This window comes from Homo sapiens, chromosome 2 (genome assembly GCF_000001405.40).
Source record: "Homo sapiens chromosome 2, GRCh38.p14 Primary Assembly".
Classification (NCBI taxonomy): domain Eukaryota; kingdom Metazoa; phylum Chordata; class Mammalia; order Primates; family Hominidae; genus Homo; species Homo sapiens.
In genome coordinates this window covers 44060208-44072830 of record NC_000002.12, presented here as the reverse complement: position 1 = coordinate 44072830, position 12623 = coordinate 44060208, and the positions used below count along the sequence as shown (strand labels likewise).

The 12623-nt window shown below is 47.8% G+C and overlaps 2 annotated features.

The window, feature by feature from the left end:
- Positions 10568-11141: an enhancer, noted in NCBI's record as "OCT4-NANOG-H3K27ac-H3K4me1 hESC enhancer chr2:44288829-44289402 (GRCh37/hg19 assembly coordinates)". NCBI's record gives its function as "activates a minimal SCP1, AML or CMV promoter by ChIP-STARR-seq in naive H9 embryonic stem cells {active_cell/tissue: H9 hESC(naive)}" and the evidence as "EXISTENCE:reporter gene assay evidence [ECO:0000049][PMID:30033119]".
- Positions 11977-12512: an enhancer, noted in NCBI's record as "NANOG hESC enhancer chr2:44287458-44287993 (GRCh37/hg19 assembly coordinates)". NCBI's record gives its function as "activates a minimal SCP1, AML or CMV promoter by ChIP-STARR-seq in naive and primed H9 embryonic stem cells {active_cell/tissue: H9 hESC(naive and primed)}" and the evidence as "EXISTENCE:reporter gene assay evidence [ECO:0000049][PMID:30033119]".

The following is a 12623-nucleotide window of genomic DNA, read 5'->3' as shown; positions in this document are numbered from 1 at the left end:
GTGGGAACATGCAGTATTTATCTTTCTGTGCCTGCCTTGTTTCATTTAACATAACGTTCCCCAGGCTCATCCATTTGCTGTGAACGCCAGGATTTCATTCATTTTTTAAGGCTGACTAGTATTCCATTGTGTATATACCACATTTTCTTCATCCATTCATCTGTTGATGGTCATTTAAGTTGATCCCATATCATAGCTATTGTGAGGTTTTTTTTTTTTTTTGTCTCCCTCTGTCACCCAGGCTGGGTTGCAATGGCGCTATCTCAGCTCAGTGCAACCTCACCTCCCAGGTTCAAGTTCTTGTACCTCAGCCTCCCCAGTAGCTGGGATTATAGGCATGCACCACCACACCGGGCTAATTTTTGTATTTTTAGTAGAGACAGGGTTTTACCATGTTGACCAGGCTGACCTCAAGTGAGCCACCCACCTCGGCCTCCCAAAGTGTTGGTATTACAGGTGTAAGCCACTTTGCCCAAACTATCATAGCTATTGTGAATAGTTCTGCAATAGACATGAGGTTTCAGGTATCCCTTTGTTATACTGATTTTCTTTCCTTTGTATAAATACCCAGTAGTAGGACTGACGGATCATATGGTAGCTCTATTTTTAGTTGTAGTTGTTTTTTTTTTTTAAGAAACCACTATATTCTTTTCCATATGGCTATACTAATTTACATTCCCACCAACAGTATATAAGAGTTCCCTTTTCTCCATATCCTTGCCAGTATCTGTTGCTGTTTGTTTGATAACAGCCATTCTATTAGAAGAAAACATAGGGGATATGCTTCAGGAGATTGGTCTAGGCAAAGCTTTGAGCTAAGACTTCAAAAACACAAGCAACAAAAACAAAAGCAGCCAAATGGGACTGTATTAAATGGCAAAGCTTCTGCATAGCAAAGGAAGCAATCAACAAAGTACAGAGACAACCTGGAGAGTGGGGGAAAATGATTCATCTGACAAGTGGCTAATATCTAGAATACACAAGGAACTCAAACAACTCAACAGCAAAAATCCCCAAATAATCTGATTTAAAAATAGGCAAAGAAACTGAAATGAACATTTCTTAAAAGACACATAAATGGGCAACAAATATATGAAAAAATGCTCAATATTACTAATCATTAAGGAAATGCAAATTGAAGCCTCTTATAAGAAGTACAACTGGTTCTTCTCATAACACAGGCAATATACTCTTTTTTTGAGACAAAGTCTCACTCTGTCACCCAGGCTGGAATATAGTGGTGCAATCTCGGCTCAGTGCAACCTTCGCCTCCCAGGTTAAAGTGAGTCTCCTGCCTCAGCCTCCTGAGTAGCTGGGACTATAGGTATGTGCCACCATGCCAGCCTAAGTTTTGTATTTTTAGTAGAGACAGGTTTTTGCCGTGTTGGCCAGGCTAGTCTCAAACTCCTGGCCTCAAGTGATCCACCTGCCTCGGCCTCCCAAAGTGCTGGGATTATAGGCGTGAGCTACCACATCTGGCCCTATTTTTGTTCCTTTTGGGTATACAACTAGGACTGGAATTGCTGGACCAAATGCAAAGTCTATGTTTAAATTTTTGATGAGCTGTTAGACTGGTTTCCAAAGTGATGGCACCATTTTATATTTCTATCAGCAGTATATGAAGTTTTCAATATTTTCACATCCTCACCAACACTTTTTATTATTTGACTGGTTAAGTTTTGTATTTTTAGTAGAGACAGGGTTTTGCCATGTCGGCTAGGCTGGTCTTGAACTCCTGACCTCAGGTGATCCACCCATCTCAGCCAAAGTGCTGGAATTACAGGGGTGAGCCACTGCAACTGGCCAATATACTCTTATGTATCTAGTACGAGTTTGTGTGTGTGTGTGTGTGTGTGTGTGTGTGTGTGTGTGTGTATTAAGAGATCAGACTAGAGAGATTTCAGTCAATGGTCAGGCCAAAGTATCTAGGTCTGCACTCCTAATCCAGGAAGAGCTTTTGTTGGTCATTGCTAACCATGGCATTTTTCCAGTGTGAGTAAACTTTTTCTTACTCTTTCTCTCCCTTTTTTGCAGGTAAATTTTGAGAGGTTTTTCTCTTCTAGGCCTGGCAAGAGTTGCTGTATGAGGACAAATTCTGATTTCAGGAAGCGTCAACCTCTCCTCTGCCTTTGACGTCTTGCTGCCCTAGATGAAGAAAGCTCCACAGCTGGTCAGGGGAAGTATAGGGTTGACCCAGAATTAGAAGGTTTTGTTTTATTATTATTATTATTATTAATAGAGATGGGGGGGGTCTCACTATGTTGCCCAGGCTGTTCTCGAACTCCTGGGCTCAAGCCATTGCCTGCCTCTGCCTCCCAAAGTGCTGGGATTATACGTGTGAGCCCCCACACCCAGATAAGAAGTCTTTAGGAGCAGCTGCAAGACACTGTGGCTTCTTGCCGTTCCTAAGCCAGGAGCATGCTTTAACTGTGGGGGCGAAAAAAAAAAACAAAACACCAATCACAATTCTCCATCTCTACAGATAGACAGCAGCACACATCCCCCAATCAAGAAGGAATCTGTCAAAATCTGGCTTTTCATTTGGTCGAGTGAAACAGGTTATTAAAACAACAAGGCACTGCTGATTTTATATAGATATACTTAAGTGGACAAACTACTGCCGTAGAGGCAGATTCCCAGCCAAATTACCAAAAAGAAGTTAAACATGCGCTTAGCAATAAGAAAATCTTGAGATGACGGTTTGGTATCACCAGGTGTTTCAATTACCTCTCTCTTCCCTGAGCTCTGTTCTGCACAAGGCACCATTCTCCACATTCTCTCATTCCCATGGAAAAGGGCATAATTCCTCCACCCCCGCACACATACCCCTCTGCCCATGTCTTCTATTAATCTTGAATGAAAAAAGTCTATGTCCTGAAGCATATCTCCTATGTTTTCTTCTAATAGAATGGCTAGTATCAAAAAATCAAACAATGAACAATAGAAACAGCTGGAACTTATCCTCAGATTCACCCTCCACTCAAAGTGTATTCCATCTTCCTTCTGAAACAAACTCTCCGGGAAATTCCATGTGTTAACAAATATCCACTTGACGCTCACCATTGAGAAGCATGAGCCCTCAGGTACTGTGCTCCGAGCTGTAGACACAAGGATAAGACTCAGTTGCTGTCTATTCAATTCAGTGTATTTCATTTTGAATTTAATTCCAAAAATAGCCATTGATATCTAGTCTACAATGCTGCCAATAATGTCCTAGGCTTTGACTACACCAAAAAAAAGTTTTTAAAAAAGGAAGACAGGCTGAGCATGGTGGCTCATGCCTGTAATCCCCAAACTTTGGGAGGCCAAGGCAGGCGGATCACCTGAGGTCAGGAGTTCGAGACCAGCCTGGCCAACATGGTGAAATCCTGTCTCTAAAAAAAAAAAAAAAAAATACAAAAATTAGCCAGGCATGGTGGAGCGCTCCTGTAATCCCAGCTACTCAGGAGGCTAAGGCACAAGAATCACTTGAACCCAGGAGGTGGAGGTTGCAGTGAGCCGAGATTGTGCTACTGCACTCCAGCCTGGGCAATAGAGCAAGACTCAGTCTCAAAAAAAAAAAAAAAAAAAAGTAAGTGAATTCTTGCTCACACTGGGGAGTTCTCAGCCTTGCTGAGGGGCAGACAGACAGAAGTAAATGATGGCTATAATACAATGTCATGGTTGTTTGTGCTGTGTCAAGTTGGCTACACTGGTGTTCCCAGGGTCTCCTTCTCTGTATGGTTCTGAGTTAAAGTTGGGCAAAAGAACTTGCATGAGATTTGGAAGAGGAGTCATTTCTCTGAGAGTCATTTGATGGTAAGATGAGATGACCAACAGACACAGAGTTGCCCAGCAGTTTCCAGCTTGTTCTCACTCTCCCTCTCTGTGACCAGTCTGGCCCCACTGACCAACAGTGGCCCCTCCCCAACACCAAATTATTGGTTGTGAATTGACACAGAGGGTAGCTACCTAGAGGCAACAGCTTCCCATGGATGCCTCTGCCTCAGTGACTAGATAGAGTTGGCTCTTTGGATGGACAGGTGGGTGACTCTTTCTCTGATTCTCTAACTTCCTGTTCTGGATCTTCAGTTCCCCAGCTCTTTTGTAAATTCTAACTCTTTAATCTATGGAATTAAATCTCTTATCCCATCGCAGTTACAGTGACTCTGTTGCTCCCCTGCCTAAGTGTGCCAAGGTTAGGACAAGGTACGTAAGAACAGCAGAGTCATTCAGGAGACAAACAACAAAGCTATAAAAAGGAGGTGAGGATTTGAAGGATGCGTAGGATTCATAATCTAAGGGTGAGTACAGATACAGGCATCTTCACAGCAAATGATATTACAGTGTGTCAGGATTTGTAACAGATCTTTACAAAGTGTTATAGAATCATGGTAGAGGGAGCAGTGAATCCTATAGGCACTTTGGGGAAGTTAAAAAAAAGAGGGAGGTTAAAAAAAAAAACAAAACTGCTCTCCCTCTCCCTCTCCCTCTCCCTCTCCCCACGGTCTCCCTCTCCCTCTCTTTACACGGTCTCCCTCTGATGCCGAGCCAAAGCTGGACTGTACTGCTGCCATCTCGGCTCACTGCAACCTCCCTGCCTGATTCTCCTGCCTCAGCCTGCCAAGTGCCTGCGATTGCAGGCGCGCGCCGCCACGCCTGACTGGTTTTCGTATTTTTTTGGTGGAGACGGGATTTCGCTGTGTTGGCCAGGCTGGTCTCCAGCTCCTAACCGCGAGTGATCTGCCAGCCTCGGCCTCCCGAGGTGCAGGGATTGCAAACGGAGCCTCGTTCACTCAGTGCTCAATGGTGCCCAGGCTGGAGTGCAGTGGCGTGATCTTGGCTCGCTACAACCTCCACCTCCCAGCCGCCTGCCTTGGCCTCCCAAAGTGCTGAGTGCAGCCTCTGCCCGGCCGCCACCCCGTCTGGGAAGTGAGGAGCGTCTCTGCCTGGCTGCCCATCGTCTGGGACGTGAGGAGCCCCTCTGCCTGGCTGCCCAGTCTGGAAAGTGAGGAGCGTCTCTGCCCGGCCGCCATCCCATCTAGGAAGTGAGGAGCGCCTCCTCCCTGCCGCCATCCCATCTAGGAAGTGAGGAGCGTCTCTGCCCGGCCTCCCATCCTCTGAGATGTGGGGAGCGCCTCTGCCCCGCCGCCCGGTCTGCAATGTGAGGAGCGCCTCTGCCTGGCCGCGACCCCGTCTGGGAGGTGAGGAGCGTCTCTGCCCGGCCGCCCCGTCTGAGAAGTGAGGAGACCCTCCGCCTGGCAACCGCCCCGTCTGAGAAGTGAGGAGCGCCTCCGGCCGGCAGCCACCCCATCTGGGAAGTGAGGAGCGTCTCCGCCCGGCAGCCACCCCGTCCGGGAGGGAGGTGGGGGTCAGCCCCCGCCAGGCCAGCTGCCCCGTCTGGGAGGGAGGTGGGGGGGTCAGCCCCCCGCCCGGCCAGCCACCCCGTCCGGGAGGTGAGGGGCGCCTCTGCCCAGCCGCCCCTACTGGGAAGTGAGGAGCCCCTCTGCCCGGCCAGCCGCCCCGTCCGGGAGGGAGGTGGGCGGGTCAGCCCCCCGCCCAGCCAGCCGCCCTGTCCGAGAGGGAGGTGGGGGGGGTCAGCCCCCTGCCTGGCCAGCCGCCCCGTCTGGGAGGGAGGTGGGGGGGGTCAGCCCCCCGCCTGGCCAGCCGCCCCGTCTGGGAGGGAGGTGGGGGGGGTCAGCCCCCCGCCCGGCCAGCCGCCTTGTCTGGGAGGTGAGGGGCGCCTCTGCCCGGCCGCCCCTACTGGGAAGTGAGGAGCCCCTCTGCCCCACCAGCCGCCCCGTCTAGGAGGGAGGTGGGGGGGTCAGTCCCCCGCCCGGCCAGCCGCCCCATCCGGGAGGGAGGTGGGGGGTCAGCCCCCCGCCCGGCCAGCCGCCCAGTCCGGGAGGTGAGGGGCGCCTCTTCCCGGCCGCCCCTACTGGGAAGTGAGGAGCCCCTCTGCCCGGCCACCACCCCATCTGGGAGGTGTACCCAACAGCTCATTGAGAACGGGCCATGATGACAATGGTGGTTTTGTGGAATAGAAAGGGGGGAAAGGTGGGGAAAAGATTGAGAAATCGGATGGTTGCCGTGTCTGTGTAGAAAGAAGTAGACATGGGAGACTTTTCATTTTGTTCTGTACTAAGAAAAATTCTTCTGCCTTGGGATCCTGTTGATCTGTGACCTTACCCCCAACCCTGTGCTCTCTGAAACATGTGCTGTGTCCACTCAGGGTTACATGGATTAAAGGCGGTGCAAGATGTGCTTTGTTAAACAGATGCTTGAAGTCAGCATGCTCGTTAAGAGTCATCACCACTCCCTAATCTCAAGTACCCAGGGACACAAACACTGCGGAAGGCCGCAGGGTCCTCTGCCTAGGAAAACCAGAGACCTTTGTTCACTTGTTTATCTGCTGACCTTCCCTCCACTATTGTCCTATGACCCTGCCAAATCCCCCTCTGCGAGAAACACCCAAGAATGATCAATAAAAAATAAATAAATAAATAAATAAATAAATAAATAAATAAATAAAAATAAATAAAAGTTGCCACCTGAATTAATGCAGCCATTACCAATGTTAATAAACCCCTTTAAAGACATGGTAAAAAAAAAACAAAACAAAAACAAAAAACAAAACTGTGCTTCAAGTTACAATGCAACAGCCTGCTGCTGTTCATGTACAAGGTAAGGAACCTTTGCTTCCATGTTGGCATCTGCCCCTCCTCAGGAGCAAAAGCGAATATTGGGTGAACGGCTGTTTCCTCTTATTCAAGCTATGCACCCTACTCTTGCTGGTAAAATCACTGGCATGTGGTTGGAGACTGATAATTCAGAACTTCTTCATATGCTCGAGTCTCCAGAGTCACTCCATTCTAAGGTTGTTGAAGCTGTAGCTGTACTACAAGCCCACCGAGCTAAAGAGGCTGCCCAGAAAGCAGTTAACAGTGCCACTGCTGTTCAACTGTTTAAAATTGATCAGGAACCATGAAAAGAAACTTGTGCTGCACCGAAGAGAAATATCTAAACATCAGAAAACTTAAATATTATGGAAAAAAATTGCAAACTATAAAACAAATAAGAAAAGGAAAGGAAACTTTGAACCTTATGTACTGAGCAAATGCCAGGTCTAGCAAACATAATGCTAGTCCTAGATTACTTATTGATTTAAAAACAAACAAAAAAAACCACAAAAAGTAGTAAAATATAAAAACAAATTAATCTTTTATAGACCCCGGGAAAAAGAATTTTCAGCAAAGTACAAAAATTTAAAGCATTCCTTTCTTTAATTTTATAATTATTTACTGTGAAATAGCTCAAAATGTCAGTTCTGTTTTAAGTAACAGAATTGATAACTGAGCAAGGAAACGTAATTTGGATTATAAAATTCTTGCTTTAATAAAAATTCCTTACACAGTGAAAAAAAAACCCAAAAAACTGTGCTAGGGCCAGGCGTGGTGTCTCATGCCTGTAATCCTAGTGTTTTGGGGGGCCAGCACTGGAGGGTTTGTTGAGTCCAGGAGTTTGATACCAGGCTGGGCAACATAGCAAGACTTCATCTCTACAAAAACTTTAAAGAAAAAGTAGCCAAGGCTGGGCACAGTAGGTCACGCCTGTAATTCCAGCACTTTGGGAGGCTGAGGTGGGCGGATCACCTGAGGTCAGGAGTTCGAGACCAGCCTGGCCAACATGGCAAAACCCTGTCTTGAGACAGGGCTGATATCTCTGGAAATGGTAGGTGGGAATAGACAGGGTATGAAAAGCTTAGCAGTTTTAACTTTATTTTATAGGCAATTGCTTCTCAGCCTTTTGGCTAAGATCAAGTGTAGTGTTCTACATGCAATTGGAGTGCCATCAATGGTTTGAACAGGGAAGCATCATGATCAAACCTGTGTTTCCTAAAGATAACTTTGGAAGTAGTTGTTTAGGATAAGGCTTGAGGGAAAGAGGGAACTGGGAGGGATGAAATTTACATATCAGAATTCAGCTGGGGGAAAAAATTAGCTTCTTCACTTTTTTTTTTAAACAGGGTCTTGCTCTGTTGCCCAGGCTGGAGTGCATAAATAAGCACTGCAGCCTTGAACTCCTGAGCTCAAGGAATCCTCTCCCCCTCAGCCTCTCTAGTAGCTGGGATTACAGGCACACACCACCACATCTGGCTAATTCTTTAGTTTCTTTTAGAGACAGAGTCTCTCTGCATTGCCTAGGCTAGTCTGAAACTCCTGGCCTCAAGGGATCCTCCCACCTCAGTCTCCCAAAATGCTGGGATTACAGGTGTGGGACACTGCACAGGCCTGCTTCTTTACTCCTTGTAACTTACTTTTTCTTTCTCTCTTGACCCCATTCCTCAGGCCAGGTGCAGTGGCTCACGCCTGTAATCCCAGCACTTCGGAAGGCTGAGGCAGGCGGATCATCTGAGGTCGGAAGTTTGAGACCAGCCTGACCAACATGGAGAAACCCCAGCTCTACTAAAAACACAAAAAAATTAGCTGGGCATGGTGGTGCATGCCTGTAATCCCAGCTACTTGGAGGCTGAGGCAGGAGAATCGCTTGAACCCGGGGGGCAGAGGTTGTGTTGAGCTGAGATTGCGCCATTGTACTCCAGCCTGAGCAACAAGAGCAAAAACTCTGTCTCAAAAAACAAAAAATAAAAGACCCCAGTTCCTCTAATGGTTACGATGAGGTGACGACTTAAGCTTCCCAATTGAAGCTAATTCTGGCCAGGTGCAGTGGCTCACACCTGTAATCCCAGGACTTTGGGAGGCTGAGGCAAGTGGATCGCCTGAGGTCAGGAGTTCAATACCAGCCTGGCCAACATGGTGAAACCCCGTCTCTACTAAAAATATAAAAATCAGCTGGGTGTGGGCCGGGCATGGTGGCTCACACCTGTAATCCCTGCACTTTGAGAGGCCGAGGTGGGTGGATCACAAGGTCAGGAGATCGAGACGATCCTGGCTAACATGGTGAAACCCCGTCTCTACTAAAAATATAAAAAATTAGCCAGGTGTGGTGGCGGGCGCCTGTAGTCCCAGCTAGTCGGGAGGCTGAGGCAGGAGAATGGCGTGAACCCAGGAGCCAGAGCTTGCAGTGAGCCGAGATCGCGCCACTGCATTCTAGCCTGGGTGACAGAGTGAGACTCCATCTCAAAAAAAAAAAAAAAAAAAATCATCTGGGTGTGGTGGCATACGCCTGTAATCCCAGCTACTCGGGAGGCTGAGGCAGGAGAATCACTTGAATCCAGGAGGTGGAGGTTGCAGTGAGACGATATCGCACCACTGCACTCCAGCCTTGGCGAAAGAGAGACTCCGTCTCAAAAATAAATAAATAAATAGGCGAATTCTATTACATCTAGCTTTAAAAAAATGGCGGGATTGAGAGTTGTTAACTCAGTTTTTGCTGAGAAATTACAGTCGTTCAAATGTAAATTGCTCAGTCTTCCAAATATCCCCTAAAATCTCTCCTCCAGAGAAGGCTTCCCTTCCTCCCTTCCAAGATAGTAGCTGAGAGCAGTAAGGCCCTACAGAACCTCATGGCCTTGTGGGAAGGGCTGCTGCTGTACACGTGCTCTCCAGCTGAGCTGCCTTCTCCTACTTATCTCCAGGCATTGGCTTTGGTTCTCTGCCTCTGCTGCTGAGGCATCATGGGTGGCATGAAGCACAATGTGTTCCCTTCGCTTGGGAAATGCACAGCCCTGTTCCCCCCGGAATGCTGCCACCTCCTCCGTAGTGACTTGGCTCCACCTCTCCTCATACTGGTTCTGCAGATCTTCTGAGGTCAGGCTGCAACTCCCAACCAGTCACCAGCTTGGACTCCTCTACAGATGACTCTGTACCTCTCTCTCCATGATGACCCTCAGAGTAGAGACTGCAGTGCACCATCTAGATTTGCCCTTTAGATCTGCCAGGAATGTTGGGCACAGAAGTCATATAGCTGAGTTCTTTCTCAGGTATACCCCTCCTGGAGGGGGGACGGGAATGCATCTAATGAGTGGTCAAAATAGGGATACAAGGATTCAGCTCCCTTGCCTCAATTCGGAACTATTTATTTATTTATTTGAGATGGAGTCTCACTCTGTCACTCAGGCTGGAGTACAGTGTTGCGATCTCAGTTCACTGCAACCTCTGCCTCCTGGGTTCAAGCGATTATCCTGCCTCAGCCTCCCGAGTAGCTGGGATTACAGGCGCATGCCACCATGCTGAGCTAATTTTTTGTATTTTTTAGTGGAGACGGGGTTTCACCCTGTTGGTCAGGCTGGTCTTGAACTCTTGACCTCAAGTGATCCGTCTGCCTTGGCTTTTCAAAGTGCTGGGATTACAGGCATGAGCCACTGCACGCAGCCATTTGAGAGCAATTCTAAAAGACTATCCCAGCTTCAGAGCTCCCCACGGGATCAATGGAGGCCTTTATTAACAGTGCCAGAGCTCAGTTTCTCTCTCTGCTTAGTCCTTACTCCCTTACAGTTATAGTTGCCAAGAGCAGCTCCCTGTAACCTCCCTAGGTTGCCACCTAAAGCCCTCATGTCTCCTCCAGGGAAGTGTCTGAAAATTCACTGAAAACCAACTGACTAAAGGTAGATTCATTGGAGAAAAGGCATAAAAACATTAACATGCATGGGAGGAAATTACAGACTGATCACCCAAAAAACAGTGCAGTCCAGAAGCTCCCCTTTTTTCATAAGGGAGGGGGGAGATGGGAATTGTAGACAATTCTTTGAAGGGGTAGTAAATCATTAGGGAGAACGAATGGCGTTGGGAGGCCACCAGTACAGAAACGTAAGGAACAGAGGTTGCTTCACAGGAACAAAGGTTGTCTTATTATGCAACTAAAGTTCCCCGCTGCGGGTAATCTCTTGGAGCTACCCGCATAACAGAGGAAAAGTCAGCCTCGGCATGGTGATGACTTGAGTCTCTTCTCTCATGGTTGATCATTCCTGGTTAGTTGATGAGATCCCCAGGGAGGGAGTCTTAAGACAATTGCATTTAAGCGTTCTTAGAAGTCAGATAAGCAAATTCCAGAGAGGGTCCCTTCTATTGCTTCTTCGGGAAAAAGGACCAGAGCGACAGGGAGGTTGGGGCAAAGAACAGAGAGAGACATTGGTTCTGGGACTTATTTCTGAAGTGAGGAGAGCCTCTGCCCGGCCGCCCCACCATCTGGCAAGTGAGAAGCGCCTCTGCCCAGTCGCCGCTCCGTCTGGGAAGAGAGGAGCGCCTCGCCCGGCCGCCACACCGTCTGGGAAGTGGCCCCTCTGCCCAGAGGCCACCCTGCCTGGGAAGTGAGGAGCACCTCTGCCCGGCTGCTGTGCAACCCTCCAAGTGTGAAGTGGCTGCCGTGTGTGTGATCTTTCTGCCCTCCCCAAGTTTTCATTTTTGACATTAAAGTTTACTTTTAAATTTTTTTTAAAAAAAAGAAGAAAAAGGGAGCCAGAATGGGGACTTTTCGGAGCAGCGCAGAGCAACGGGGAGGAAGACGCAGGATTGGTTACCTGTGTTTTCCTTTTTTGCATGACAGCCCTCACTGACACAGCCAGACCTGAGGCAACCCTTTCAACCCACCTAGGGAAAAGAACATGTTTCTGCCTTCAAATGTACTTGTTATAAACTTTGCCCCAGGAGGCAAAATGAAATTATAGCCAAGCCTACACATCAGTGAGCTGTATTGTGATAGAAAACATCAAACAACTCTTTTGTACTTTGGATTTTGATTCACAGTAAAACTTTCCACTAGAAATCAATATTGACTTCTCATCACCTGCAGGTCAATATACCTTAATGAACCTTGGTGTCACCTCCCCTTTCTCTACTCTTTTTACTCCTAGAGACTTAGAGAGCTCAGAAGACAGGAAGATGTGGGAAAGTTTGGAACTTCCTAAAGACTTGATGAATGGCTTTGATCAAAGTGCTGATAGTGATAAGGATGATGAAGTCCAGGCTGAGGTGGTCTCAGATGGAGATGAAGAACTTCTTGGGAACTGGAGTAAAGGTGACTCTTGCTATGCAATGAGACTGCTGGAATTTTGCCTCTGCCCTAGAGATCTTTGGAACTTTGAACTTGAGAGAGATGTTTTAGGGTATCTGGTAGAAGAAATTCCTAAGCGGCAAAGTACTCAAGAGGAGGCAGAGCATAAAAGTTTGGAAAATTTGCAGCCTGCTGATGCAATAGAAACAAAAACCCCATTTTCTGGGGAGAAATTCAAGCCAGCTGCAGAAATTTGCATAAGTAACGAGGTGCCAAATGTTAATCACCAAGACAATGGGGAAAATGTCTCCAGGGCCTGTTAGAGACCTTCACAGCAGCCTCTCCCATCTCTGGCCCAGAGACCTAGGAGGAAGGAAATGGTTTCTTAGGTCAGGCCCAGGGACCCCCTGCTGTGTGTTAGCCTAGGGACTTGGTGCCCTGCATCTCAGCCACTCCAGCTGTGCCTAAAAGGGGCCAAGGTACAGCTCAGGCCATGGCTTCAGAGAGTGGAAGCCTCAAGCCTTAGCAACTTCCATGTGGTGTTGAGTCTGTTGGTGCACAGAAGTCAAGAACTGAGGTTTGGGAACCTTTGCCTAGATTTCAGAGGATGTATGAAAATGCCTGGATGTCCAGGCAGAAGTTTGCTGCAGGGGCAGAACCCTCATGGAGAACCTCTGCTAGGGCAGTGAGGA